This window comes from Homo sapiens, chromosome 12 (assembly GCF_000001405.40).
Source record: "Homo sapiens chromosome 12, GRCh38.p14 Primary Assembly".
Taxonomy (NCBI): Eukaryota; Metazoa; Chordata; class Mammalia; order Primates; family Hominidae; genus Homo; species Homo sapiens.
Window position 1 is genome coordinate 132,699,597 of NC_000012.12, and position 24,007 is coordinate 132,723,603.

General features: G+C 53.5%; 2 protein-coding genes and 1 long non-coding RNA gene across 6 annotated transcripts in view, besides 5 other annotated features; 2 read left to right on the plus strand and 1 right to left on the minus strand.

The window, feature by feature from the left end:
* Positions 1-5,389, plus strand: part of PXMP2 (peroxisomal membrane protein 2) — a 17,399-nt gene extending 12,010 nt beyond the window's left edge. Inside the window, exons 4-5 of the mRNA NM_018663.3 lie at positions 1,654-1,773; positions 5,023-5,389. Coding sequence (NP_061133.1) covers positions 1,654-1,773; positions 5,023-5,091 — 189 coding nt within the window. The 3' untranslated portion in view covers positions 5,092-5,389. The remainder of the gene's footprint in view (positions 1-1,653; positions 1,774-5,022) is intronic.
* Positions 4,327-5,200: an enhancer, noted in NCBI's record as "H3K4me1 hESC enhancer chr12:133280509-133281382 (GRCh37/hg19 assembly coordinates)". NCBI's record gives its function as "activates a minimal SCP1, AML or CMV promoter by ChIP-STARR-seq in primed H9 embryonic stem cells {active_cell/tissue: H9 hESC(primed)}" and the evidence as "EXISTENCE:reporter gene assay evidence [ECO:0000049][PMID:30033119]".
* On the minus strand, positions 5,382-10,999 carry LOC124903063 (uncharacterized). Of its 2 annotated transcripts, none has more exons than XR_007063551.1 (2): positions 10,898-10,999; positions 5,382-5,619 (listed from the first exon to the last, which is right to left on the minus strand). It is a non-coding gene; the product is annotated as an uncharacterized LOC124903063 (long non-coding RNA). The 2 variants fall into 2 exon arrangements; XR_007063550.1 differs by lacking the exon at positions 5,382-5,619 and adding an exon at positions 10,062-10,645.
* Positions 7,714-7,914: a silencer, noted in NCBI's record as "peak2052 fragment used in MPRA reporter construct". NCBI's record gives its function as "represses an SCP1 promoter by STARR-seq MPRAs in K562 erythroleukemia cells {active_cell/tissue: K562}" and the evidence as "EXISTENCE:reporter gene assay evidence [ECO:0000049][PMID:32103011]".
* Positions 10,763-10,812: an enhancer, noted in NCBI's record as "active region_7386". NCBI's record gives its function as "activates an Ori minimal core promoter by ATAC-STARR-seq in GM12878 lymphoblastoid cells {active_cell/tissue: GM12878}" and the evidence as "EXISTENCE:reporter gene assay evidence [ECO:0000049][PMID:35858748]".
* Positions 10,983-11,442: a silencer, noted in NCBI's record as "silent region_5124". NCBI's record gives its function as "represses an Ori minimal core promoter by ATAC-STARR-seq in GM12878 lymphoblastoid cells {active_cell/tissue: GM12878}" and the evidence as "EXISTENCE:reporter gene assay evidence [ECO:0000049][PMID:35858748]".
* PGAM5 (PGAM family member 5, mitochondrial serine/threonine protein phosphatase) lies at positions 11,246-23,138 on the plus strand. 3 transcript variants are annotated; one of them, NM_001170543.2, is made up of 6 exons: positions 11,246-11,471; positions 15,262-15,440; positions 17,843-17,968; positions 18,114-18,202; positions 18,391-18,524; positions 21,082-23,138. In NM_001170543.2, the coding sequence occupies exons 1-6, from the start codon at positions 11,281-11,283 to the stop codon at positions 21,230-21,232; spliced, it is 870 nt and encodes a 289-aa protein (NP_001164014.1). In that variant the 5' UTR covers positions 11,246-11,280; the 3' UTR covers positions 21,233-23,138. The 3 variants fall into 3 exon arrangements, with proteins under 3 accessions (NP_001164014.1, NP_001164015.1, NP_612642.2); NM_001170544.2 differs by having other exon boundaries at positions 18,394-18,524; NM_138575.4 differs by lacking the exon at positions 21,082-23,138 and adding an exon at positions 19,166-19,571.
* Positions 11,653-11,762: a silencer, noted in NCBI's record as "silent region_5125". NCBI's record gives its function as "represses an Ori minimal core promoter by ATAC-STARR-seq in GM12878 lymphoblastoid cells {active_cell/tissue: GM12878}" and the evidence as "EXISTENCE:reporter gene assay evidence [ECO:0000049][PMID:35858748]".
* Positions 23,139-24,007: the final 869 nt, after the last annotated feature.

The following is a 24,007-nucleotide window of genomic DNA, read 5'->3' on the forward strand; positions in this document are numbered from 1 at the left end:
CTCATCTCACTGCAACCTCCGCCCCCCAGGTTCAACGATTTTCCTGCCTCAGCCTCCCAAAGTGCTGAGATTACAGGCGTGAGCCACCGTGCGCGGCCGAGTTCATTCTTTTTTTTATAGCAGAGTAGTGTTCCGTGGTGTATTTATGGCACTTTTTCTTTATCCAGTCCTCTGTTGGGGGACGTTTAGGTTGATTCCACGTGTTTGCTGTTGTGGATAGCGCTGTGATAAACACACGAGGGCAGGGATTGTTTGATATGATTCCTTTTCCTTTGGGTAGAGGCCCAGTAGTGGGATTGCTGGATCGAATGGTGGTTCTATTTTCAGGTCTTTGAGAAATTTCCATACTGTTTTCCAGAAGGGCTGTACTAATTTGCATTCCCACCAGCAGTGTGTAAGTGTTCACTTTTCTCCACATTCTTGCCAGCATCTATTGTTTTTTGACCTTTTTTTTTTTTTTTTTGAGGCAGAGTTTCACTGTGTCAGCCAGGCTGGAGTGCAGTGGCACGATCTCGGCTCACCGCAACCTCCGCCTCCCGGGTTCAAGTGATTCTCCTGCCTCAGCCTCCTGAGTAGCTGGGATTACAGGCACACGCCACCATGCCCAACTAATTTTTGTATTTTTTTTTTTTGGTAGAGACAGGGTTTTCCCATGTTGGTCAGGCTGGTCTCAAACTGCTGACCTCGTGATCCGCCCACCTCAGCCTCCCAAAGTGCTTAAATTACGGTCATGAGCCACCGCGCCTGGCCACTTGACTTTTTAATAATAGCCATTCTGACTCGCGTGAGGTGGTATCTCCTTGTGGTTTTAATTTGCATTTCTCTGATGATTAGTGATGTTGAACATTTTTTCATATGTTTCTTGGCCACTTGTTTTTCTTCTTTTGAAAAATGTTTGTATCCGTTGCCCACTTTTTTAATGAGGTTATTCATTTCTTTCTTGTTGAGTTGTGTAAGTTCCTCACAGATTCTGGATAACAGTCCTTTGTAGGATGCATAATATGCATATATTTTTTCCCAGGCTGTAGACTGTCTGTTGATTGTTTCTTTTGCTGTGCAGAAGCTTTTTTGTTTAATGAAGTCCTGTTTGTCTGTTTTTGGTTTTGCTGTATTTGCTTTTGAGCACTTAGTCACAAATTCTTTGTCTTGGCGGACGTCCAGAGGAATTGCTCCTAGGATCTTTATGGTGTCAGGTCTTGGGTTCAGGTCTTGAATCCACCAGCTGACATTTAGAATGAACTTACTGGAGTCCTTTTTTTTTTTTTTTCATAACTCCTAACAAGTTTTGATTGGAAAGACATCGACTTTGGAGGTTATTTGGGAGGAATTGACAGCGTAGCTCTGAGTAGCAGTTCTGGTGCCCAGGGCCAGCCTTGGGAGTCACCTCCTCCAGTTGTCCGCAAGGAGTTTTGGGCCAGGACAGACATCACTGCCAGCATGAGCAGGCTGCTGTCTGGCATCTCACTGATCATTTTCCATCTTGCTGGTTGGCTCCTTAGAGCCGCAGTGCTGAGTACACATGTGTGCTGTCTGCGTACACACAGAACAAAATCCAATAGCAGTTTAAAAACCATCACGATAGGGTCTGGGTGCCCGGAATTCAGTTCTGATGGGCAGTGAGACTGTTCACCACCCGCCTTCCCTCCTTTGCAGGGGAAAGACGCCTCAGCCTTCGCCGCCAAGATGAGGGGGGGCTTCTGGCCGGCGCTGAGGATGAACTGGCGGGTGTGGACGCCACTACAGTTCATCAACATCAACTACGTCCCTCTGAAGGTGAGGGCCACGGGGCTCAGCCTCTGCTAACATTACTTTGTCAGCCTTTTCCTTCCTTCCTTCCTTCCTCTTTCCTCCCCCCCTCCCTCCCCTCTTCTTTTCTCTTCTCTTCTTTCTTTGGTAGTTTTCCGCTAGACTTAGTTTCATCCGTGTCTAGACTCCTCAACTACCCTTGGATTTTGCCCATGACCCTGAATCATTGCTAGTTCGGGATTCAGGAAGCAACAGAGAAGGGTGTCCCGAGTGGTCGTCTTTGCCTCTTCTGTTCGTTCAGCAAATTCTCATTAAAAGCCCCCATGCCAGGGATGCCTATGAGTTTTCTAGCCTTTGAAACATTCCCAGTCCCAGGAATGTACATGCAGGCAACTTGAATCTATGCTCCTGGGTTGCAGTCCTCAAACTTGGCCCAAATAAACTCTAGTTATACTTAGAAAAAGAAGGCCGTCACAGTAGCTCACACCTGTAATCCCATCACTATGGAAGGCTGAGGTGGGCAAATCACTTGAAGCCAGGAGTTCGAGACCAGCCTGGCCAACATAGCGAAACCCCATCTCTACTAAAAATACAAAAATTAGCCAGGCATGGTGGCAGGTGCCTGTAGTCCCAGCTACTCAGGTGGCTGAGGCACAAGAATCACTTGAATCCGGGAGACGGAGGTTGGAGTGAGCTGAGATTGTGCCACTGCACTCTAGCCTGGGCAACAGAGTAAGACCCTGTCTCAAAAAATAAATAAAATGTTAAAAAGAAACAAAGCATTCGTGGTCCCTGGGCTCATGAATTACAGCTGAGCCTGAAGGCAGGCACTGTGCGGCCATGGGTCCTGCCGCTGGCCTGGAAGAGCTGCCTCACCTGCAGCCATGGCAGCCACACCTGGGCAAGGGGTGGGCCCATCCAGGTGCAGAGTGAAGGCCTTCTGGGTAAGCTGAGCCTTTCCGCTATCCTGTGCATGAAGGAGCTGCTGTGGGGGCTGAGTCAAAGGTGTCAGATTGGGGCTGGGCTGGTGGTGTGGAGGCTGGAGCTCCAGGCTCTGCCACTGGGATCAACTGTCTTTATGCACAGCCAGGGTCCCCAGGACCACTCCCACACTGGGAGGATGGGGTGCAGCACCCCCTGCAGCATGGCAGGATACCCCCAGATGCTACAGGAGGAGGCCTGGCAGAGCCTGCAGGGGCCACGTGCTTCCCTCCCCCAGAAGGTATGCCGCCCATCAGGGTTTTTTACTGGTACTCTGGGCGGGCATCTCTGCCTGCTGCCCCAAAGCTCCAGACCCCTAGAAAGACAGCAGCTGTGTGGAGCCTGCATTGTTGGTGCAAACAGTCCAGGCACAGGGCAGGTGGCCCTTCTGGGAAAGGTGGGTGCCGTCCCAGCCCAGGCTGCTGCTAGGGAGGACCTGAACAGGCCTGCAGTGGCTGGACCTCAGCTGCAGAGGGCCTTCCTGCATTAGCACCGGCTCTGAGCCCTGCCCAGGAGGGAGGAAAGGACCAGGGTGACCCCCGAGGGAGAGGAGGGAGGCGGCCCAGTGTGTGCACACTGCACACACCACAAACACACCAAGAAGCAGCAGGAAACCAGGGGTGCACACAGACAGGACAAAGAGGCAGTTCACCCTTAGCCAAAGTTGCCAGGAGTTAAAGCAAAATAAAAAAATTTCCTTTGGCTTTAACAGTGGCCCTTCCCAGAGCAATTTCAGCTCTATGGGGCTGAAGCCAGATTGCCTTGAAGAGTGGGTGGGAATTATTTTAAAAATCACAAGTCTAGAACATGCTCTCAAAGTCTGTGGGGGCCAGGCATGGTGGCTCATGCCTGTAATCCCAGAACTTTGAGAGGCTGAGGCAGAAGGATCACTCAAAGCCAGGAGTTTGAGACCAGTCTGGGCAACATAGTGAGACCCCATCTCTATTTTATAAAAATGAATTTTAAAAAGTTTGAGAGAAGGTGAGAAGTGATGGAAGAAGGCTGGGTGGCAGAGGGGGTTCTGACACTCAGAGATGCGGCCATGGTGGGTGCAGACGTGAAGCTGCTTGTGGGATGGGCAAACACGCATGTCCAGAAAGAGCAGCTCTGCGGGGTCCCCTAAGGAGTCAGGGTGGATGTGAGCCCCCAGCACACTCACAGTGGTGCTTGGACAGAGGCCCTGCCCTCTGTGATGAGAGAGGAGAGAGAAAGTGACAGCTGAGCGGACAGGAGAGTGGGACATCCTGCCTCAAGCCCCCACGTGCCTCTCTGGAGGGCCAGGGGCTGGGACTGAGGGCAGAGGAAGTCAGGCGGGCATTTTAAGGGGATACAGGAGGGGCAAGTTTGGCCATGTGGAGGATGGGAGAGCATGCTGACTGCAGAGACAAAGACCTCTGGGCAGAGGGGGCTGGGGCTTGTCCAGCTGTGGTCAGCATCTGGGGAAGTGAGAAGGCAGGAAGGATAAAGGATTTTCCAGGGAGTGTGACTGAAGAACAGTAGGCTAAGGAAGCTACAGCCATGGGCCACTGGTTCTCGGGAATTTAGAGAAGGAAGCAGAGACAACTGAGAAGACAGACTGGCCGGGAACACGGAGGATCTGGGATGGAAGAGGGGAGAGCTGGGAAGCCGCGCCTCTGAGTAGCGTGGGGGCAGAGTCGCCATCCTAGGTGGGTGCAGGTGTATGCGGAAGCAGCATTCATTCAGCAAGCGTTTCCTGAGCAGTGACTGTGCGCCATGCTGCTAGACTCGGAGACGCGGCGATTAACCAGACACATGGGCTGCTACTTTCATAGCACCACGTGCCAGGGAGAGACTCAGCACTGGGCCAGAGGATTCTGGGGAAGGGTGAAGCTGCTGAGTCACCAAAGCAGGGCAGTGGGATGGTGATGGGTTAGAGGAGGGAAGGTCTGGGGCCCCTCCGCTGTTCGTCAGCTGTGTCCCCTGAGGAGGGTGCAGCCACCTGCATGATGGCTGGTCCTGGAGTGAGAGAGGCTGAACCAGGAGCTAAGGTGTGCGGTGAAGGGGGCAAAAGGAGAGTGACTTGGCTTTGGGATTCCTGGGCCGCTGTAGCCTGTGAACACTGTAACTAGGGGACCGTTTTTCTTCTCCACTCCTCTCTGCTAGGGGCCTAGCACAGCGTTTGGTACGAACAAAGGCTCAGTAAATGCAGTAATGGATGGGTGGTTGGACCAGCTGACCAACAAACGGGTAAACAAATGAACTGGGTGACTGAGGCTGGATAACTGGCCACGGCCTCCCGCTGACCGTGGCCTGTTGGACTGTTCTTTTCGGCAGTTCCGGGTGCTCTTCGCCAACCTGGCAGCTCTGTTCTGGTATGCCTACCTGGCCTCCTTGGGGAAGTGACGACCGCTGGGAGAACATCAGGTGCACTGTGGACGTGGGTCTGGGGGTCTCACCCGCCCAGCGAGAGCAGAACCAATCCAGTCAGGATGTCACTGACTCTAAATCAGGTGATTCAAGATGCCCAAAAATGATGGATAGAGAAACAGAAATCTCTGAATGTCAGAACCCTGTCTTTTAAAAAGGCAGTCGCTGCCTTCAGGTGGTGCTGCCCCAGAAACTTAAAATTTAGTCGAGGCAGTTTCAATTGTTACTGTGGACCGAATTAGGATCACAATAAACGATAATGCAGGTTCTTCAATGGTGACTTTAATCTCTCAGAACAATTGCTGTTGCTTTGAAAGACATGCATAGCCAGATGTTTTTTAAATTTTCGTGTGTGTGGTACGATACATAAAACACAAAATTTACCATGCATCTGGTCGTGGTGGCTCATGCCTGTCATCCCAGTACTTTGGGAGGCCGAGGCAGGAAGATTGCTTGAGGCCAGGAATTTGAGACCAGCCTGGGCAACACAGCGAGACCTCATTTCTACAAGAAAAAAAAAGAAATACATATATATACACACACACACACACACACACACACACATATATATGTATATATGTGTCTATATATACACACACACACACACACACACATACACTCCTGGGATATCTTCCTGCCACAGTCTCCCAAGTAGCTAGGATTATAAGTTCCCACCCAGCCATACCTGGCTAATTGTTTTCTTTTTTTTGTAGAGATGGGGTCTTCCTGTGTTGCCCAGGCTGGTCTTTGAACTCCTGGGATTACAGGTGGGAGCAACTGCACTGGGCTCTTTTTTTTTTTTTTTTTTTTTTTTGAGACAGAGTCTTGCCCCGTTGCCCAGGCTGGAGTGCAATGGCGTGATCTCAGCTCACTGCAACCTCTGCCTCCTGGGTTCAAGAGATTTCTCCTGCCTCAGCCTCCCGAGTAGCTGGGATTACAGGTGTGCACCACCATGCCCGGCTAATTTTTTGTATCTTTAGTAGAGAAAGGGTTTCGCCATGTTGGCTAGGCTGGTCTCGAACACCTGACCTCATGATTTGCCTGCCTTGGCCTCCGGAGGTGCTGGGATTACAGGCTTGAGCCAACATTCCCGGCCCTCTTTCCTTTTAATAAAGGCTGACTTTTGATTGTCCTTAAGATTCTTTAAAGAAAATAAAAATAGGCTAGGCTCGGTGGCTCACGCTTGTAATCCCAGCACTTTGGGAGGCTGGGATCACTTGAGGCAGATGGATCACTTGAGGTCAGGAGTTCAAGACCAGCCTGGCCAACATAGTGAAACCCTATCTCTACCAAAAATATAAAAAATTAGCGGCTGGGCAGAGCGGCTCATGCCTGTAATCCCAGCACTTTGGGAGGCCAAGGCTGGTGGATCACGAGGTCAAGAAATCGAGGCCATCCTGGCCAACCTGGTGAAACCTTGTCTCTACTAAAAATATAAAAATTAGCAGGGCATGGGCAAGGCGCGGTGGCTCATGCCTGTAATCCCAGCACTTTGGGAGGCCGAGGCGGGCGGATCACGAGGTCAGGAGATCGAGACCATCCTGGCTAACATGGTGAAACCCTGTCTCTACTAAAAAAAATACAAAAAATTAGCCGGGCGTGGTGGCGGGCGCCTGTAGTCCCAGCTACTTGGGAGGCTGAGGCGGTAGAATGGCGTGAACCTGGGAGGCAGAGCTTGCAGTGAGCCGAGATCGTGCCACTGCACTCCAGGCTGGGCAACAGAGTGAGACTCCGTCTCAAAAAAAAAAAAAAAAAAATTAGCAGGGCGTGGTGGCACGTGCCTGTAATCACAGCTACTCGGGAGGCTGAGGCAGGAGAACCGCTTGAACCTGGGAGGCAGAGGTTGCAGTGAGCCAAGATCGCTCCACTGCATTCCAGCCTGGCGACAGAGAAAGACTCCGTCTTAAAAAAAAAAAAAAAAATTAGCTGGGTGTGGTGATGCATGCCTGTAATCCCAGCTACTTGGGAGGCTGAGGCAGGAAAATCACTTGAACTGGGAAGGCAGAGGTTGCAGTGAGCCAAGATCGTGCCACTGCACCCCAGCCTGGGCAACAGAGTGAGACTCTGTCTCAAAAAAATAAATAAATAAAATAAAAAATAAAAATAGGGCTGGGTGCAGCGGCTCACGCCTGTAATCCTAGCACTTTTTGAGGCCGAGGCAGGCGGATTACTTGAGGTCAGGAGTTTGAAACCAGCCTGGCCAACATGATGAAACCCCCTCTCTACTAAGAAATAATAAAATAAAAATTAAAAACTTAAAAGGCTGAACATTGCCGTGTGCGTGGACTGCATTTTGCCTGTCCGTCTGTCCGTCAGTGGCTAGACTGTTTCCAGCTCCTGGATGCCGTGAAGGATGTGGCGGTGAAGACAGCGGCACTAATGCCTGCTCAAGTCCTGCTTGCCTTGGGTTTTCAAAGAACTGCTCTTTCAGTTCAGAATATTTAAGGTGGGGTCGTTCCCAAAGGAAGTTTAGGGCATTTGCAAAAGTAACAGATGCTCCTGCAATTGATGCAGAAGGTGACAATTCTGACTATCCCTCTAACTTGCCACTTCCCAGTGAGTCCCACCCCCTGCCATGATGGAGGATTAAGAACCTGGATCTCAGAACAGATTCTAGATTAGAATCCAGAGATGACAGTACTGACACCGCTTAGGGCTGCTTTGTGCCGGAACTCTTCTGAGAGCTGCAGCAGCCCTGAGGGAGGTGCCATTGTTTTCTCTACTCCACATGTGGGGGATGCAAGATGCCTCAGCTAGCAAGAGACAGTCCTGATTCAGAGGCAGTCAGCCAGGTCTTGAGCCACCATCTTCACCACCTCATCATAGGGCATCAGAGTGTCACGGCAAGGTCAAGAGAATTTGCTGGAGAAGATTTCACATCATGTATATGGCTTACCACAGCCCGCATCCGGTCAGTTCGCTGAACACACCTTTACGGAGTGCTGTCAGGCACACAGGGGAGAGCAGAGACCAGGAGTTTTTAGTTTCACACACTTAACAGTCATCAGAAAACAGGCTTTTTTTTTTTTTTTTTTTTTGAGACAGAGTCTCACTCTGTTGCCCAGGCTGGAGTGCGGTGGCATGATCTCAGCTCACTGCAGCCTCCCGTTTCCAAGTGATTCTCCTGGCTCAGCCTCCTGAGTAGCTGGGATTACCAGCGCGTGCCACTATGCCCTGCTAATTTTTTGTATTTTTAGTAGAGATGGGGTTTCACCATGTTGGCCAGGCTGGTCTCGAACTCCTGACCTCAAGTGATCCATCCGCCTGTCTCGGCCTCTCAAAGTGCTGGGATTATCGAGCATGAGCCACTGCGCCCGGCGTAAAAAATACATTAAAAAAAAATATTTTCTCCTGGGCTGGTCAGTTTCCACACAGAGGAATCCTTTAGTTCTTGTCAGGGCATTGGGGGAAGGATGGTGGTGGTAGCTGAGCAGGGAATGAGCCTAGTGGCCAACATTCTTGTGGCTATCTGGAGGAAAGGGGTTAGAGGTCCTACTCTTCCTTATGTGAACTCTGTATAATCCCATCTTTATTACTGCATCCCCAATCTGAGCTATGCTTGGTGTCCTGAAATCCAGAACCCTCCTGTTCAAGTCCCCTGGAATGGCCTTTCTCTAGTGCTCCACGGTGATGAAAGTGAGCTATTCCCCTGAACATGTGGGGGAGAAACGAAATGTGGAAGGCAACCTTTTCCTCTAAATGCTCCTGCTTTCAGCCCCACAGCTCTCAGACAGGAGGCTAATGCTGCCAACTCCCAGACTCTTCCAGACTCACTGGATTAAATGAACTTGCTTCCTGGTTTCCTTCCACATAGGCACTGGTGTTCCATATTCTCAGGTCGATAAAGATCTGATCTCCAGCTCTTGAACTTTTGTTAACTGATTTATCTGCTGTCATTTCTTCTTATGGATTCAACTATGTCCTTGTGGATTTTCCCTTGTTTTTTATTTTATTTTTTGAGATGGAGTCTTGCTCTGTCACCCAGGCTGGAGTGCAGTAGTGTGATCTCAGCTCACTGCAGCTTCTGCCTCCTGGATTCCAGCGATTCTCCTGCCTCAGCCTCCTGGGTAGCTGGGATTACAGGTATGTACCAGCTAATTTTTGTATTTTTAGTAGAGATGGGGTTTCACCATGTTGGCCAGGCTGGTCTCAAACTCCTGATCTCAGGTGATCTGCCCGCCTCGGCCTCCCAAAGTGCTGGGATTACAGGCATGAGCCACTGAGCCTGGCTGATTTTCTTTTTTTTGAGACAGAGTCTCTGTCACCCAGGCTGGAGTGCAGTGGCACCATCCTGGCTCACTGCAACCTCTGCCTCCCAGGTTCAAGCGATTATCCGGCCTTAGGCTCTCGAGTAGCAGGGACTACAGGCGCGCACCACCACGCCAGGCTTTTTTGTATTTCAGTAAAGACGGGGTTTCACCATGTTGGTCAGGCTGGTCTTGATCTCCTAACCTCGTGATCCGCCCACCTCAGCCTCCCAAAGTGCTGGGATTACAGGCGTGAGGCACTGCGCCCGGCCCAATTTTCCTTTATTTTTTTGAGACAGAGTCTCGCTCTGTCGCCCAGTCTGGAGTGCAGTGGCGCGATCTCGGCTCACTGCAAGCTCCGCCTCCCGGGTTCACGGCATTCTCCTGCCTCAGCCTCCCTAGTAGCTGGGACTACAAGCACCCGCCACCATGCCCTATTTTTTTTTTTTTTTTTTGTATTATTAGTAGAGACGGGTTTTCACCGTGTTAGCCAGGATGGTCTCGAGCTCCTGACCTCGTGATCCGCTCACCTAGGCCTCCCAAAGTGCTGGGATTACAGGCGTGAGCCACCACGCCCGGCCTTCCTTTTATTTTTATTTTTTAAATCTTCCTATCATTTTTAGTAAATGACCTGGAAGCAGCAGACCCAACTGGAAGCGTACAGGTTCAAGAAAGCCTGTTTAAGCAGAAGTCTCAGTATTTCTGTGGAACCATTCAGTTTTTTTATTTTTATTTTTTTGAGACATTGTTTCACTCTGTTGCCCAGGCTGGAGTGCAGTGAGGCAATCTCAGCTCACTGCAACCTCCGCTTCCTGGGTTCAAGCAACTCTCCTGCCTCAGCCTCCTGAGTAGCTGGTATTACAGGCTGGAGCCACCGTGCCCGGCTAATTTTTGTATTTTTAGTAGAGACCGGGTTTCACCATGTTGGCCAGGCTGGTCTCAAACTTCTGACCTCAGGTGATCCGCCTGTCTCGGCTTCCCAAAGTGTTGTGATTACACGCGTGAGCCACCGAGCCCAGGCCCAAGTGATTTTTAAATAGCTTAAATCAGATCATGTCATTTCCCAATTTTAAAATGGGCAGAGATGGTCCAGCAATCCCACTTCTGGGTACAGACGCAAAACAATCAATGAAAGAGAGATCTGCACGCAGCACTGTTCACGCTAGCGAGGAGATGGCAACAGGGCAAGCGTCCAGCAATGGGTAAGCGGTGGGGTCGGTGCACGCAGGCGTCCAGCAATGGGTAAGCGGTGGGGTCGGTCCACCCAGGGAGCGCTGGTCCCCCTGGAAGGAAACCCAGGCTCTAACGCGGTCCCTCTGAGGACCCTGCTAGGCGAAACGCGCCGGCCATAGAAAGACTGTCCCGCAGGAGAGGGCGGTGTTCGGCCCGGGGTTTGAGGGGTCGGGACCAGGAGGAGGGACAGCCCGGCCGAACCTGAACGCACTTCAGGCCGCTTGAACAGCACACGCAGGAACTGCGCCGACGGAAAACTTTACTTCGTGTTCCGCCACCAAAAAAATATCGTTTAAACAAACCTGCGGCAGCTTCCCAGCTCCCTTAAACCAGGATCCCAAGTTCTCCGCGTCTCCGCCCCTGCACCCAGCCTCCGGCCTCGGCAGGCGCTTCCGGTGCGGAACCTTCTGGAAAGTACCGCGCCGCCCTCCCGGCGTCCCCACAACCCCGCCCGCACCTGCGCGCACCGGCGCTCGCGAGCACAAGTGACGGGACTGGAGCGTGGCGCGGCAGGTGGCTCCACGAAAACGCCCCTTCGCGCAAGGCTGCCCCGCGTCCTGCCGCGCCCCAGGAGGCGGGACTTCCGCCCCCGCCGCCCGGAAGCGGCAGCCGGGGGAAGCGTGTTCCTCGCGGAGCGCCGTCGGGGCCGTGGGCGCCTGCGCGGGCCGGCGCGGGAGCAAGCGGCATGGCGTTCCGGCAGGCGCTGCAGCTGGCGGCCTGCGGGCTGGCCGGGGGCTCGGCCGCCGTGCTCTTCTCGGCCGTGGCGGTAGGGAAGCCGCGCGCAGGCGGGGACGCGGAGCCACGCCCGGCTGAGCCGCCGGCCTGGGCGGGGGGCGCGCGGCCGGGCCCCGGTGTCTGGGACCCCAACTGGGACAGGTGCGCGCGGGGCTGTTTGGGGCCGGGGTCGGGATGGGGGTCAGGGCAGGTGTTACCGTTGGGATCGAGATCGGGACCAGGTTTAAGGTTGCGATCGGGTCGGGATCTGGGGTCGCCGTCTGCTTTCCCCAGCGGAGGAGCCGCTTTCCGGGGCCGCTCTGCGCGGAGGGTTCCGGGGGCGGCTGACCCTTCCCGCCGGCTTCTGTGGCCGAGCTCCGTCGCGTCCTCGCCCTTCTCCCCGCCCCTGCGAGTCCGCCCTGGGTGCCATCGCCGGAGCGCGGGCCGGGGCGAGGCTGAGGTGGAAGCCGGGCCTCCTTCAGGGGCGTTTGCAGGAGCGCGCCCGCGAGCTGCGTGCGGTTATTGAGCGTTTGAAATATGGCTCGTGTGATTCCTGAAGGGAATGCTTAGTTTACGTCAATTTAAACTTAACGCAAGCAGGGCCGGGTGCGGTAGCTCAGGCCTGTAATCCCAGCGTTTGGGAGGCTGAGGCCGGAGGATCGCTTGAGAAATTTGAAACCAGCCTGGGCAACATAGTGAGACCCCCATCTCTACAAAAAATACAAAAAAAATTGGCCGAGCGAGGTGGCGCGCGCCTGTGGTCCCAGCTACTCGGGAGGCTGAGGTAGGAGGATCCCTTGAGTCCAGGGGTCCCAGGCTGCACAGTGTGAGCCGAGATCCCGCCACTTCACTCCAGCCTGAGCAACAGAGCCTGTCTCAAAGGAAAAAAAAAAAAAGTAGTGCAGGTTTTTAACATTAGTTATGTGTTGAAATAGTATTTTTAGCATATTGAATTAAAAGTATGATCGAAATTCACCTGTTTCTTTTTAATGTTGCTATTAGAAAATGTATAATTTCACATGTTGCTGGCATTCTGTTTCTGTCGGCCAGGACTGCTCTAGCGGCAAGGATGGTTTTCCCAGTCCTAACTCCTCATTATACTCAGTACTTTGAGAAAGGGGGCACAGAATTATACTACTGTGGTTGCGTTAGGTACTTTATATTAGATTTTTATCTTTTGTTAACCTTATTTCCTCTATTATTAGCATCATACACTAAGCATGGTGTATATATCAAAATTAATGAGCCAAAATAATATAGATTAATTATAGTTATTATATTAGTTTATAATACATTACTGTTAACTAAGGTTCATGTTTCATTGAGATTTCCTCAGCTTTTACCTGCTGTTCTGTTCTAGGGTCCCACATGACAAGTAGTCTTCATGCCTCCGTAGGCATGTTTTGGCTGTGACAATTTCTCAGACTTGTTTTGATGATCATGAGTGTTTGAGGCGTCCTGGTCAGGGGTTTGGTAGAAGGTCCCTCAATTGAGACTTCTCTGAAGGTTTTCTCATGATTAGACTGGAGTTACATTCTTTTTCCTTCTTTTCTTTTTTCTTTTTCCTTGAGACGGAGTTTCGCTCTTGTTGCCCAGGCTGGAGTGCAATGGTGCAATCTCGGCTCACTGCAACCTCCGCCTCCCGGGTTCAAGCAATTCTCCTGCCTCAGCCTCCCGAGTAGCTGGGATTACAGGCACGCGCCATTATGCCCAGCTAATTTTGTATTTTTAGTAGAGACGGGGTTTCTCCATGTCGGTCAGGCTGGTCTTGAACTCCCAACCTTAGGTGATCCTCCCACCTCGGCCTCCCAAAGTGCTGGGATTACAGGCATGAGCCACCATGCCCAGCCTGTTATATTCTTTTTTAAAAATCAGAATTCTGAAAAATCAGAAATTCTGAATCAATATTCTGAATTTCTTAGGTCTTTTTAAGGAAACAGATTTACTCTGCCGTTAAAGAACTTGAAGTAGGCTGGGTGCGGTGGCTCACACCTGTAATCCCAGCATTTTGAGAGGCTGAGGTGGGCGGATCACTTGAGGTCAGGAGTTCGAGACCAGCCTGACCAACACGGTGACACTCTGTATTTACTAAAAATACAAAAAAATTAGCCAGGCATGGTGGCATGCACCTGTAGTCCTAGCTACTTGGGAGGCTGAGGCAGGACAATCACTTGAGCCCAGGAGGTGGAGGCTGCAGTGAGCCCAGATCGTGCCACTGCACTCCAGCCTGGGTGATAGAGTGAAACTCTGTCTCAAAAAAGAAAAAAAAGAACTTGAAGTAGAACCGGGAGCTGAGCCCAGCCTTTCTCTTTTAAGCAGGTGTTCTGTATTTGCTTGTCATGTCTGGGGAGAAGTGAATTGGGCCTTGTGGGTTGGGAAAGACTTATACAGACAGAAGGCATGAGCAACTACAGGAAGGTGCTAGAAGACAGCATGTTTCTTCTTGAGTCTCACCTGTCCACACTTGAAAGTTCCAGAGCCTCATCTGGTGAAATCTCCAGCTTCTTCCTGGAGGTCTCATGCAGTTTACGGCTTCCTGTCTCTGTGCCTATAGCTCCCAAATATTTTCTCTGGCTCAGCCTGACTCCCCCATACCTGCCAATTTGAGTCTTGGCCTGGTTTATGACAGGCCCCCAGGTCGGCGTGGCCCAAACGGAGCCCTTGAGTCACCACCGTGCCCTTCCACAGCTTCCTTTTCCGCCACTGTCTCAGCGAGTAAATACCAGCAGGTTCGACTTTTGCTATTCCCAGCTCTGCCGCGTTGAACTTTTTTTGTTGCTGTTGAGACAGGGTCTCGCTCTGTTGCCCAGGCTGGAGTGCAGTGCAGTGCAGTGGCAAGATCATGGCTCCCTCCTAGGCTCAAGCAATTCTCCCACCTCAGCCTCCTGAGTAGCCGGGACTACAGCTGTGGACCACCTTGCCCGGCTAATTTTTTAATGTTTTTGTAGAGACGGGGTCCCCCTGTGTTGCCCAGGCTAGTCTTGGACTCCTGGGCTCCAGTGATCTGCCCACCTCGGCCTCCCAAAGTGCTGGGATCCACTCTTTTTCAGATTCCAGCAGCTCTGGAACAGACCTTCATAATGGGAATGTTTTCTTCCTCACTGAGTGTTTGTTTATTTATTTATTTTCTGAGGCGGAGTCTCACTCTGTCGCCCAGACTGGAGTGCAGTGGCACGATCTCGGCTCTCTGCAACCTCCGCCTCCCAGGTTCAAGCGATTCTCCTGCCTCAGCCTCCCAAGTAGCTGGGATCACAGGCGTGTGCCACCAAGCCCGGCTAATTTTTGTATTTTGAGTAGAGGTGCAATTTCACCATGTTGGCCAGGCTAGTGTCGAACTCTTGACCTCAGTTGATCTGGCCACCTCAGCCTCCCAAATGCTGGGATTACACGTGTGAGCCACTGCACCCGGCCTGAGGGTCTAAAATGTGCTTAGTATGACTGAGGACATGATGTTTTAATTTTATTTAATTTTGCTTAAATTTTGAATTGAAACATCCTCATAGCTAGTGGCTGCTGTTGGGCATTGCAGTTCTAGGCTCTGCTGAAGCATCATGGTCAGGGAGGCCCATCTTGGCCCCGTGGACACTTTCCGCCTGCGCCCCGATAGCCGCTGTCCTCTTTCCTAGCCTGGCGTTCTCCGTAACCACAGTTGCGTTTGGGGTAGTCTGTCTCCTGCTGTTCACTGTCTGCCTCTCATTAGAGAAGAAGATGCACAGGGCTTTGCTTGTCTGTTTTGCTCTCCAGCGCATCACTCAGAACAGACCTGGCACTAGCTTTGTGGGAGGGAGAGTGGCGGTATGCTCAGAGAGGCCTCCCCAGGGCTGTGCCAAGGGCCTTGTCTTCTCTCCATGCTCTTCCCAAATAGTCTGACAATTTGGAAATAACATCTTGTCAGAAAAACTCAAACTTGGGAACAGAGGTCTCAAGGACATATCTTGTATTTCAACATCAGGCGAGAACCACTGTCTCTGATCAACGTGCGGAAGAGGAACGTGGAATCTGGGGAAGAAGAGCTGGCGTCCAAGCTGGACCACTACAAAGCCAAGGCCACGCGGCACATCTTCCTCATCAGGCATTCCCAGTACCACGTGGATGGCTCCCTGGAGAAGGACCGCACTCTGACCCCGCTGGGTATGTGGTGGGTTCAGATCCTCTGTGGACCCTCGTGGTTATGTGGCCAGGTGCATATCTGCTGGCGCCTTGGTTATGTGACTGGGTGCAGGTCCTCCGCCGACCCCCTTGGTCAGCTTTCTTGAAAGTGCTTGGGGCACTGGGCCTCCTGGGGCCCATGTCCGAGACCATCACCCCTGAATCACACATTATTACCAGTAACTGTCAGCTGAACTTGGACAGAAGACAAGCTTTTCAAAATGTCCTTACCTTGGCCGGGCGCGGTGGCTCACGCCTGTAATCCCAGCACTTTGGGAGGCCGAGGCAGGTGGATTACCTGAGGTCAGGAATTCGAGACCAGCCTGGCCAACCCGGCAAAACCCTGTCTCTACTAAAAGTACAAAAATTAGCCAGGTGCAGTGGTGGGCGCCTGTAGTCCCAGCTACTCGGGAAGCTGAGGCAGGAGAATGGTGTGAACCCTGGAGGCGGAGCTTGCAGTGAGCTGAGATCGCACCACTGCACTCCAGCCTGGGCGACAGAGCGAGACTCCGTCTCAAAAAAAAAAAAAATGTCCTTACCTTGGCCAGGCACGGTGGCTCACGCCTGTAATCCCAACACTTTGGGAGGCCGAGGCAGGTGGATCACCTGAGGTCAGGAGTTCGAGACCAGCCTGGCCAACAGGGCGAAACCTCGTCACTACTAAAAGTACAAAAATTAGCCGGGTGCAGTGGCAGGCACCTGTAATCCCAGCTACTAAGGAGGCTGAGACAGGAGAATTGCTTGACCCTGGGAGGTGGAGGTTGCAGTGAGCCAAGATTGCACCACTGCACTCTAGCCTAGGTAACAGAGTGAGACTCCGTCTCAAAAAAAAAAAGCCCTTAACTTTTAGCAAATGTTGGACAGATCTTGTTTGCATGAGACCAAATGCAGTGCATATCCCAGCAGTGATTTTATACCTGCTTGATGCCTTGGAAAGCGGCGTGGCTTGTGCCCTCGGCTGCTCACCTGGACCTGCTGCCAAAGACGCTTCTCTGCGGCCTGTGGCACTCACAGGCCTGATGCCTGGCGTCTGCTTGTTTGTTTGTTTTGAGACATAGTCCTGCTCTGTTACCCAGGCTGGAGTGCAGTGACGTGATCTTGGCCCGCTGCAACCTTTGCCTCCTGGGTTCAAGCAATTCTCCTGCCTCAGGCTCCCAAGTAGCTGGGACTACAGGCACACGCTGCCACTCCCAGCTATTTTTTTGTATTTTTAGTAGAGACGGGGTTTCACCGTGTTAGCCAGGATGGTCTCTATCTCCTGACCTTGTGATCCACCCGCCTCGGCCTCCCAAAGTACTGGGATTACAGGCGTGAGCCACCACACCCAGCCTAATTTTTTTTTTTTTTTGTATTTTTAGTAGAGATGGGGTTTCACCATATTGGCCAGGCTGGTCTCAAACTCCTGACCTCGTAATCCGCCCGCCTTGGCCTCCCAAAGTGCTAGGGTGACAGGTGTGAGCCACCGCGCCCGGCCTGGCCTCTGCCTCTTAATGCCCTGTTGAACAGGCGGGACTGAGCAACAGGATCCCGCCTGTCCCCACTGGCAGATGCTGCATAGACAGCGTCCAGGAGGGTCCTTCCACCTTGTCCTTGTGTCCCTGTGCAGGTGGATCTGTAGAAGAAATGCCTGCCTAGAGAAGGAAATGCAGGGTGGGCTAAGGTAGAGTTTACATTTTGAAAAGTTCTTCGAATGGGATAGTGCCTGTTCATGCACATACTAAAAGTTCAGATAGTAAAAATGTGCAGGGCTGTCCTCCACAGACGCCGCCCCCCAGTCCCCAGAGCTGTCCTGGCTGCTTGTGCACAAAGAAAGTGGAGTGACAGATGCAGGTGTGGCTGCATCCAGTGGCTTCGGCCTTCCTGAGGCGTTTTCACCTGGATGCAAAAGCTCACAAGAGAAAAGGCATCTGCACTGGTGTCCGGCCCCCACATAGCAGCTTGGGGTGTTTAGGTCCCGCTGTGTTGGCCTCCGCCATGGCGCGTGGTTGGGGGCCTGTGAGGCTCAGGTTTTGGACACAGTTGAGTGAGGGTGACAAGGGGGGACCCAGAAACCACCCCTGGGCCCCACCAAGCGCCAGCCACCATCCGGTTTGCTTGCTGCTCCATTGGTGGAATCAGATGCATGTTTTTTCCTGTATGGGGGTGAAGACAGTTGAGTGCCGGCCCCTCTGGCCCAAGCCTCGGGCGGGCAGGAGCCATCGGCTGAGCTTGCTGAGCTTGCTGCCTGATCAGGGGTCGTGTTTGCGGGCGGAGGAGGGGGTGTTTGCGGGCGGAGGAGGGGGTGTTTGAGGGTGGAGGAGGGCGTGTTTGCGGGCGGAGGAGGGGGTGTTTGAGGGTGGAGGAGGGGGTGCAGGTGCGGCACTCAGGTGCCTTTCACCTTCCAGGTCGGGAGCAGGCTGAACTCACTGGGCTCCGCCTGGCAAGCTTGGGGTTGAAGTTTAATAAAATCGTCCATTCGTCTATGACGCGCGCCATAGAGACCACCGATATCATCAGCCGGCACCTGCCAGGTGAGTGCTGCGCGCGGGGCCTCCATGCTTGCAGCAGTGGGCGGCTCGTGGCAGGGCCCCGGCCTGAGCTCCTGGCCACCGGGAGGTCACAGCATCTCCGCCGGCGGGGCCGCCTCACCCAGCGCTTCGCTGTGCTTCTCTGCAGGCGTCTGCAAAGTCAGCACAGATCTGCTGCGGGAAGGCGCCCCCATCGAGCCAGACCCGCCCGTGTCTCATTGGAAGCCGGAAGCTGTGGTAAAAACCTCCCCGGGGGGCAGCTGTGTCACCCTCGCCTTCCCTGGGCAAAGCGGCCCTGCTGGGCTCACCATCCACCACGTGCCCGGCCGTCCCACGGGCTTCCCCGGGCGGCGATGGGGTCTGTCCTCCTGACACCCGCCCTGCCCGAGCACTTCCGCACTGACGGCTCCTCACTCTGCCCCCAGCAGTATTACGAAGACGGAGCCCGGATCGAGGCCGCCTTCCGGAACTACATCCACCGCGCAGATGCCAGGCAGGAGGAGGACAGTTACGAGATCTTCATCTGTCACGCCAACGTCATCCGCTACATCGTGTGCAGGTAGGCAGCTGCTGGGCTGGGCGTGGTCTAAAATAATTTCAGACTTAGAGAAAAGCATGAGGAAGAAGCCGAGCGAGACCCTCCTCCACTGCCGATGCCACCCTAGTCAGGCCTCACCAGCCCCCGGGCGTCCACTTCCCGCGAGTCCTAGTCAGTTACGCGGTAGGTGGCGTGTTACTTGGAGCTTCTCATAAGGCTGTTTTGGGCAAGGGTGGTGCAGACAGGGAGGGACCCCTGTGGTGTCCTGGGTGGGGTGCGTGCTGGGTGGGGGGTCCTGAGTGGGGTGCGTGCTGGGTGGGGGTGTCCTGGGTGGGGTGTGTGCTGGGTGGGGGGTCCTGGGTGGGGTGCGTGCTGGGTGGGGGTGTCCTGGGTGGGGTGCGTGCTGGGTGGGGGTGTCCTGGGTGGGGTGCGTGCTGGGTGGGGGTGTCCTGGGTGGGGTGCGTGCTGGGTGGGGGGTCCTGGGTGGGGTGCGTGCTGGGTGGGGGTGTCCTGGGTGGGGTGCGTGCTGGGTGGGGGGTCCTGGGTACGGTGCATGCTGGGCGTCCGCACTGCCCTGGTTGTTTTCCCTTTGTAATTGAACGTCCTGTTTCCCCTCAAACTCGACCAACCACCTTCTGCCTCCGGCTGGATCCCACTGGCAGCATCCCGCCGCTGTTGTCCGCTGGGGATTTTGTGCTTCTGGGGTCCTGACCTCTTTCACTTGCTGATCTGTGGGCGCTCCCACCCGTGTGCCAGCGTGACGGCTCGGGGTGTCCGCTCCCCTCTGGGTCGAGGCCACAGCTGAGTCACGTTGCTGCTCGGGCTGCTCCCTCGGGGGGCCCTTGTCCCTCAACCTGCTCTGGTGCCCCACTCTCAGCACCACAGAATGATCCGGGTTCAGGTTGCGTTTTCCCTGCCACCACCCTGCAATCAGCCACTTCTTTAAGGAGCTCCAGGGCTGCAGCCACGTTAGAGGGCCCCTTGGGGGGCAGGGCCAGCTCTACGGTTACATGCCTGAAACAGTCAGAAGGGTTGGCCAAATCTCACTAAATGCAAATTTGAAACAAATTTGCCTCTTCTCTGGATCCATTAGGAAATGTGTGTGTGGGCTCCGCAGCTGAGGGGGCCCTCTTGAGTGTGACGAGTCCTGTGGTGGGAGGACAGGACGGCACTGGTCAGTGATGCCGTGTGAGGCTGGGCCCTGGTCTCTGCCCGTCTGTCACCTGGGCCTGTCACCAGGGCTGGGGCTGCTGGGAGCACCATGGTCAAGAGCAGCAGCTCCCAGAAAGTCGAGGATGTACGGGCCGAGATTCTCAAGCTTGGCTCCAGACCAGATAGAGCTTTTCTGGGGGTTGGAGCCTCCGGGTGGTGTGGCCTCAGGCTAAGTGAGTACCTGTTTGCTGTGAGTCGTTCGTTGCCTCCTGTCTGTGCTTGTGAATGAGCCATATGGGTGGCTTCTATGCTGCCACCACCACCTTGTGTGTCCATGACACAGTCACCCCGAGGTGACACAAATGCTAAAAATGCACAGAAATAACCGGGGCGGGAGAGTGGAGCCGACCTGAGTCCACACAGTGGTGAGGGCCAGGCACGTGCACCTGGACACGAGAATATGGCTGTGCTGTTCCGGCCGGTGCCGCCAGGCAGCCCTGAGGAGGCTCGGGAAGCAGCGTGAGGGTGGCCATGCGGCCCACTGAGACAGGGCGGTGGGTGGCTCAGAGGCGATGAAGGCAACTCCGAGCTTTTCCGCAAATGCGAATTGTGCCTAAGAAGTGCATGAAGATGCCACGGCGGGTAGATCCCATCTCCGTTCTTTGCTTTCCCAGAAAGGGACCTGTTGCACTAACTGGCTGCTCCCTGCTTTTATATGGGAAAAGCAGAAATTAAACTGTGTTTCCTCGTAAGAAGTCAGCGTTGTTCTGATCTGTGCAAATCTTGAGTTGGGGTTGGGCCCCTGTCCTAAAGAGGGCAGGTCCCCAAGTGTGATGGCTCCATTCATGTCGATCCCAGTCATCGATTCACGTCGATCCCAGCCAGATCTTCCCCGAGAAGCCCCGACTGAAGACAGGAGCGGCTCGGCTGATGTGTACCCCGGCCCTGAGGCTGCTCTGAGACTTCTGAGGGGCTCAGCCTCTGTTTGTAGAACAGAGCCCCCTGGCACAGCCTGGCCCAGCCTCTTTTAAGGACAGAGTCCCCTGGCTCTAGCCCAGCCCGTTTTTTTTTTTTTAGACAGAATCTCGCTCTGTCACCCAGGCTGGAGTGCAGTGGCGCGATCTCAGCTCACTGCAAGCTCCGCCTCCCGGGTTCACGCCATTCTTCTGCCTCAGCCTCCCAAGTAGCTGGGACTACAGGTGCCTGCTATCACGCCCAGCTAATTTTTTGTATTTTTAGTAGAGATGGGGTTTCACCGTGTTAGCTGGGATGGTCTCGATCTCCTGACCTTGTGATCCACCCGCCTGGCCTCCCAAAGTGCTGGGATTACAGGTGTGAGCCACCATGCCCGGCCTAGCTCAGCCCGTTTTAAGGACAGAGCCCCCTGGCTCTAACGTGCTCTTTCTCTCTCTCTCTCTCTCCCCAGAGCACTGCAGTTTCCTCCTGAAGGCTGGCTCCGGCTCTCCCTCAATAATGGCAGCATCACCCACCTGGTGATCCGACCCAACGGCCGAGTTGCGCTCAGGACCCTCGGGGACACGGGGTTCATGCCTCCCGACAAGATCACTCGATCCTGAGGGCTCCGGCCTCTCCTTCCCTCTGTCCTCCCTGCACAGGCCGCACACACTTAACGTTTTGTTCCCAAGGAGACCGGCGGAAAGTAGAAACCTGCAATGCTGCATCTGGGAACTGACTTGTGACCAGGCTGAGAAGGGGAGAGTTGGGATCAGACAGCCTGACTTCTCTGCAGGGTTTTATACCTGACCATGAACCCCCAGGATGGCGTGGGGTTTAAGGTGAAAGCGTCTCACGCACAAGTCAGGCCTGTTGTGGGGACTTGAAAGAGGCCTGACCCAGACCACCATGTTCGCACCCACAGCTGACCCGTGCTGAGGGTCCAGGCTCCATTGGCAAAGCCGGTCAGGCACGAGGGCGACTGAGGCACGTGGATGAGGAGGGCACCCAGGTTCTGTTCACAACTCACTTCACTTCATACATCCTTTTAATTTCTTAAAACCCTCTTGTCCCTTAAATATTTGTCAATTAAAGATTTTCTGGCTGGGCACAGTGGCTCACACCTGTATTCCCAGCTACTCAGGAGGCCAGGGTGGGAGGATCACTTGAGCTCAGGAGTTCAAGACCAGCCTGGACAAGGCAACATAGCGAGACCCTGTCTCTACTAAAAATACAGAACTTAGCTGGGTGTGTCGTGGGCATCTAGAGTCCCAGCTACTTGGGAGGCTGAGGTGGGTGGATCACTTGGGCCCGGGAGCTGGAGGCTGCAGTGAGCTGTGATTGTGTCACTGCACTCCAGCCTGGGCAAGCGAGGGAGACTTAAAGCAATTTTTTCTTTTGAAACGGAGTTTCACTCTTGTTGCCCAGGCTGGAGTGCAGTGGTGCGATCTCGGCTCACCGCAACCTCTGCCTCCTGGGTTCAAGTGATTCTCCTGCCTCAGCTCCCGAGTAGCTGGGATTACAGTCGCCCACCACCATACCTGGCTAATTTTTTGTATTTTTAGTAAAGACAGGGTTTCATGGAGAAACCAATATAGAATTGTTCAGGCTGGTCTCGAACTCCCAACCTCAGGTGATTCACCCACCTTGGCCTCCCAAAGTGCTGGGATTAAAGGTGTGAGCCATCGTGCCTGGCCTAAAAAATTTTTTTTTCTTCATCTGGGTTTTTGCTTTGAAAACAAGTTTCTCCAAATTTACAGATTTCCTGATGATGTTGGGTCTGAACTCACCAACTTGATTAGGTCTTTAGGGGCCGAGGGACTAGCCAGCTGCACAGGTGACTGGATGGGGGAGGGGCAGGTGAGGTGGGTCTACAGAGGTGGCTTCGCCTTTGACCTTCATGCTGGTCTCGGCTGAGGTGACACGCTAGTGACAGCCCAATAGGGGGTTACCCTTATTGAGTAAAATACTTCAGATTGACAGCTCAATCTTAGTTTGCCTCCAGTTAATCTTTTATGCTTAGGGATTAAATGTGTGGTTTTTTTTTTGTTTTTTTTTTTTTGGAGACGGAGTCTCGCTCTGTCACCCAGGCTGGAGTGCAGTGGCGCGATCTCGGCTCACTGCAACCTCTGCCTCCTGGGTTCAAACGATTCTCCTGCCTCAGCCTCCCAAGTAGCTGGGATTATAGGCGCCCACCACCATGCCTGGCTAATTTTTTATTTTTAGTAGAGATGGGGTTTCACCGTGTTGGCCAGGCTGGTCTCGAACTCCTGACCTCGTGATCTACCCACCTCGGCCTCCCCAAGTGCTGGGATTACAGGCGTGAGCTAGCATGCCTGGCCAGGGATTAAAATATTCAAACATGTTGTGTGTACCCAGATATGCTGTTAATTTAGGAAAAACAGTACAATTTCTATGAAGTGGTTGTGACTATTTTCTGTAGTCAATACAGTTGGGATATCTGATCTATTTCTCTGTCTACTTTGGAAATGATTGCATAATAAATAAAATTTTACTGTTTTTTTAAAAGGACTAGTTGTGAGTGTGTTAAAAGCGTGGAACTTCGGCCGGGCGCGGTGGCCACGCCTGTAATCCCAGCACTTCAGGAGGCCCAGGCAGGTGGATCATGAGGTCGGGAGTTCAAGACCAGCCTGACCAACATGCTGAAACCTCGTCTCTACTAAAAATACAAAAATTAGCCAGGTGTGGCAGGCGCCTGTAATCCCAGCTACTCAGGAGGCTGAGGCAGGAGAATCGCTTGAACCCGGAAGGCGGAGCTTGCAGTGAGCCGAGATCGCTCCACTGCACTCCAGCCTGGGCCACAGAGCAAGACACCATCTAATAAGAAAAAAAAAAAAGGAAACTTGTGCAGTGTGAGAAACGATGGTGTCACCAGAACCCTTTGCACAGTGTCCTGTCTCCCCGTGGCTGACGCCTCTGCCCGCATCGCACCGGCTGCCTGCTCAGAGGACTTCCGCCAGTGGCCTGGGCCCTTTCCAAATCCCTGACCAGGACGGCAAGGCTGACCAATGGTTGTGGAGACAACAGCCACAGCAACCATACACCACTGTCTAGAAATAGTTTGATAAGCCAGGGACGCGCCAACTTCAAAAACAAATACCAGGCACGCTCACGTTTGACCTCAGACGGGAGCAAGGCTGGCGAGGAAGCAGTCCGGGATGCTCTAAGTCAGCTACACAGGGCGCCCACGCCACAGCCCCAACGCTGGGCCTCCAGGGATGGGGCAGCGCTGCAGGGCTAAGCCTTTGTTCTGCTTAGGGCCCCGGCTCCTCTGTAAAGTGGGAAAGCTTGGAGGTGGGAGCAGCGCCAGCACGCCTGGCACTGAGGCAATGCTCAGAGCAGGCGCAGGTTTGCTGGGCAGCAAAGCTCATCACAAA

Excerpts from the sequence above, each read along its gene's own strand:
- PGAM5 (NM_001170543.2), top strand. The coding sequence starts at position 11,281 with ATGGCGTTCCGGCAGGCGCTGCAGCTGGCGGCCTGCGGGCTGGCCGGG. Across the intron at positions 11,472-15,261 it reads TGGGACCCCAACTGGGACAG|GCGAGAACCACTGTCTCTGA; the intron begins GTGCGCGCGGGG and ends TTTCAACATCAG. Across the intron at positions 18,203-18,390 it reads ATTGGAAGCCGGAAGCTGTG|CAGTATTACGAAGACGGAGC; the intron begins GTAAAAACCTCC and ends CTCTGCCCCCAG.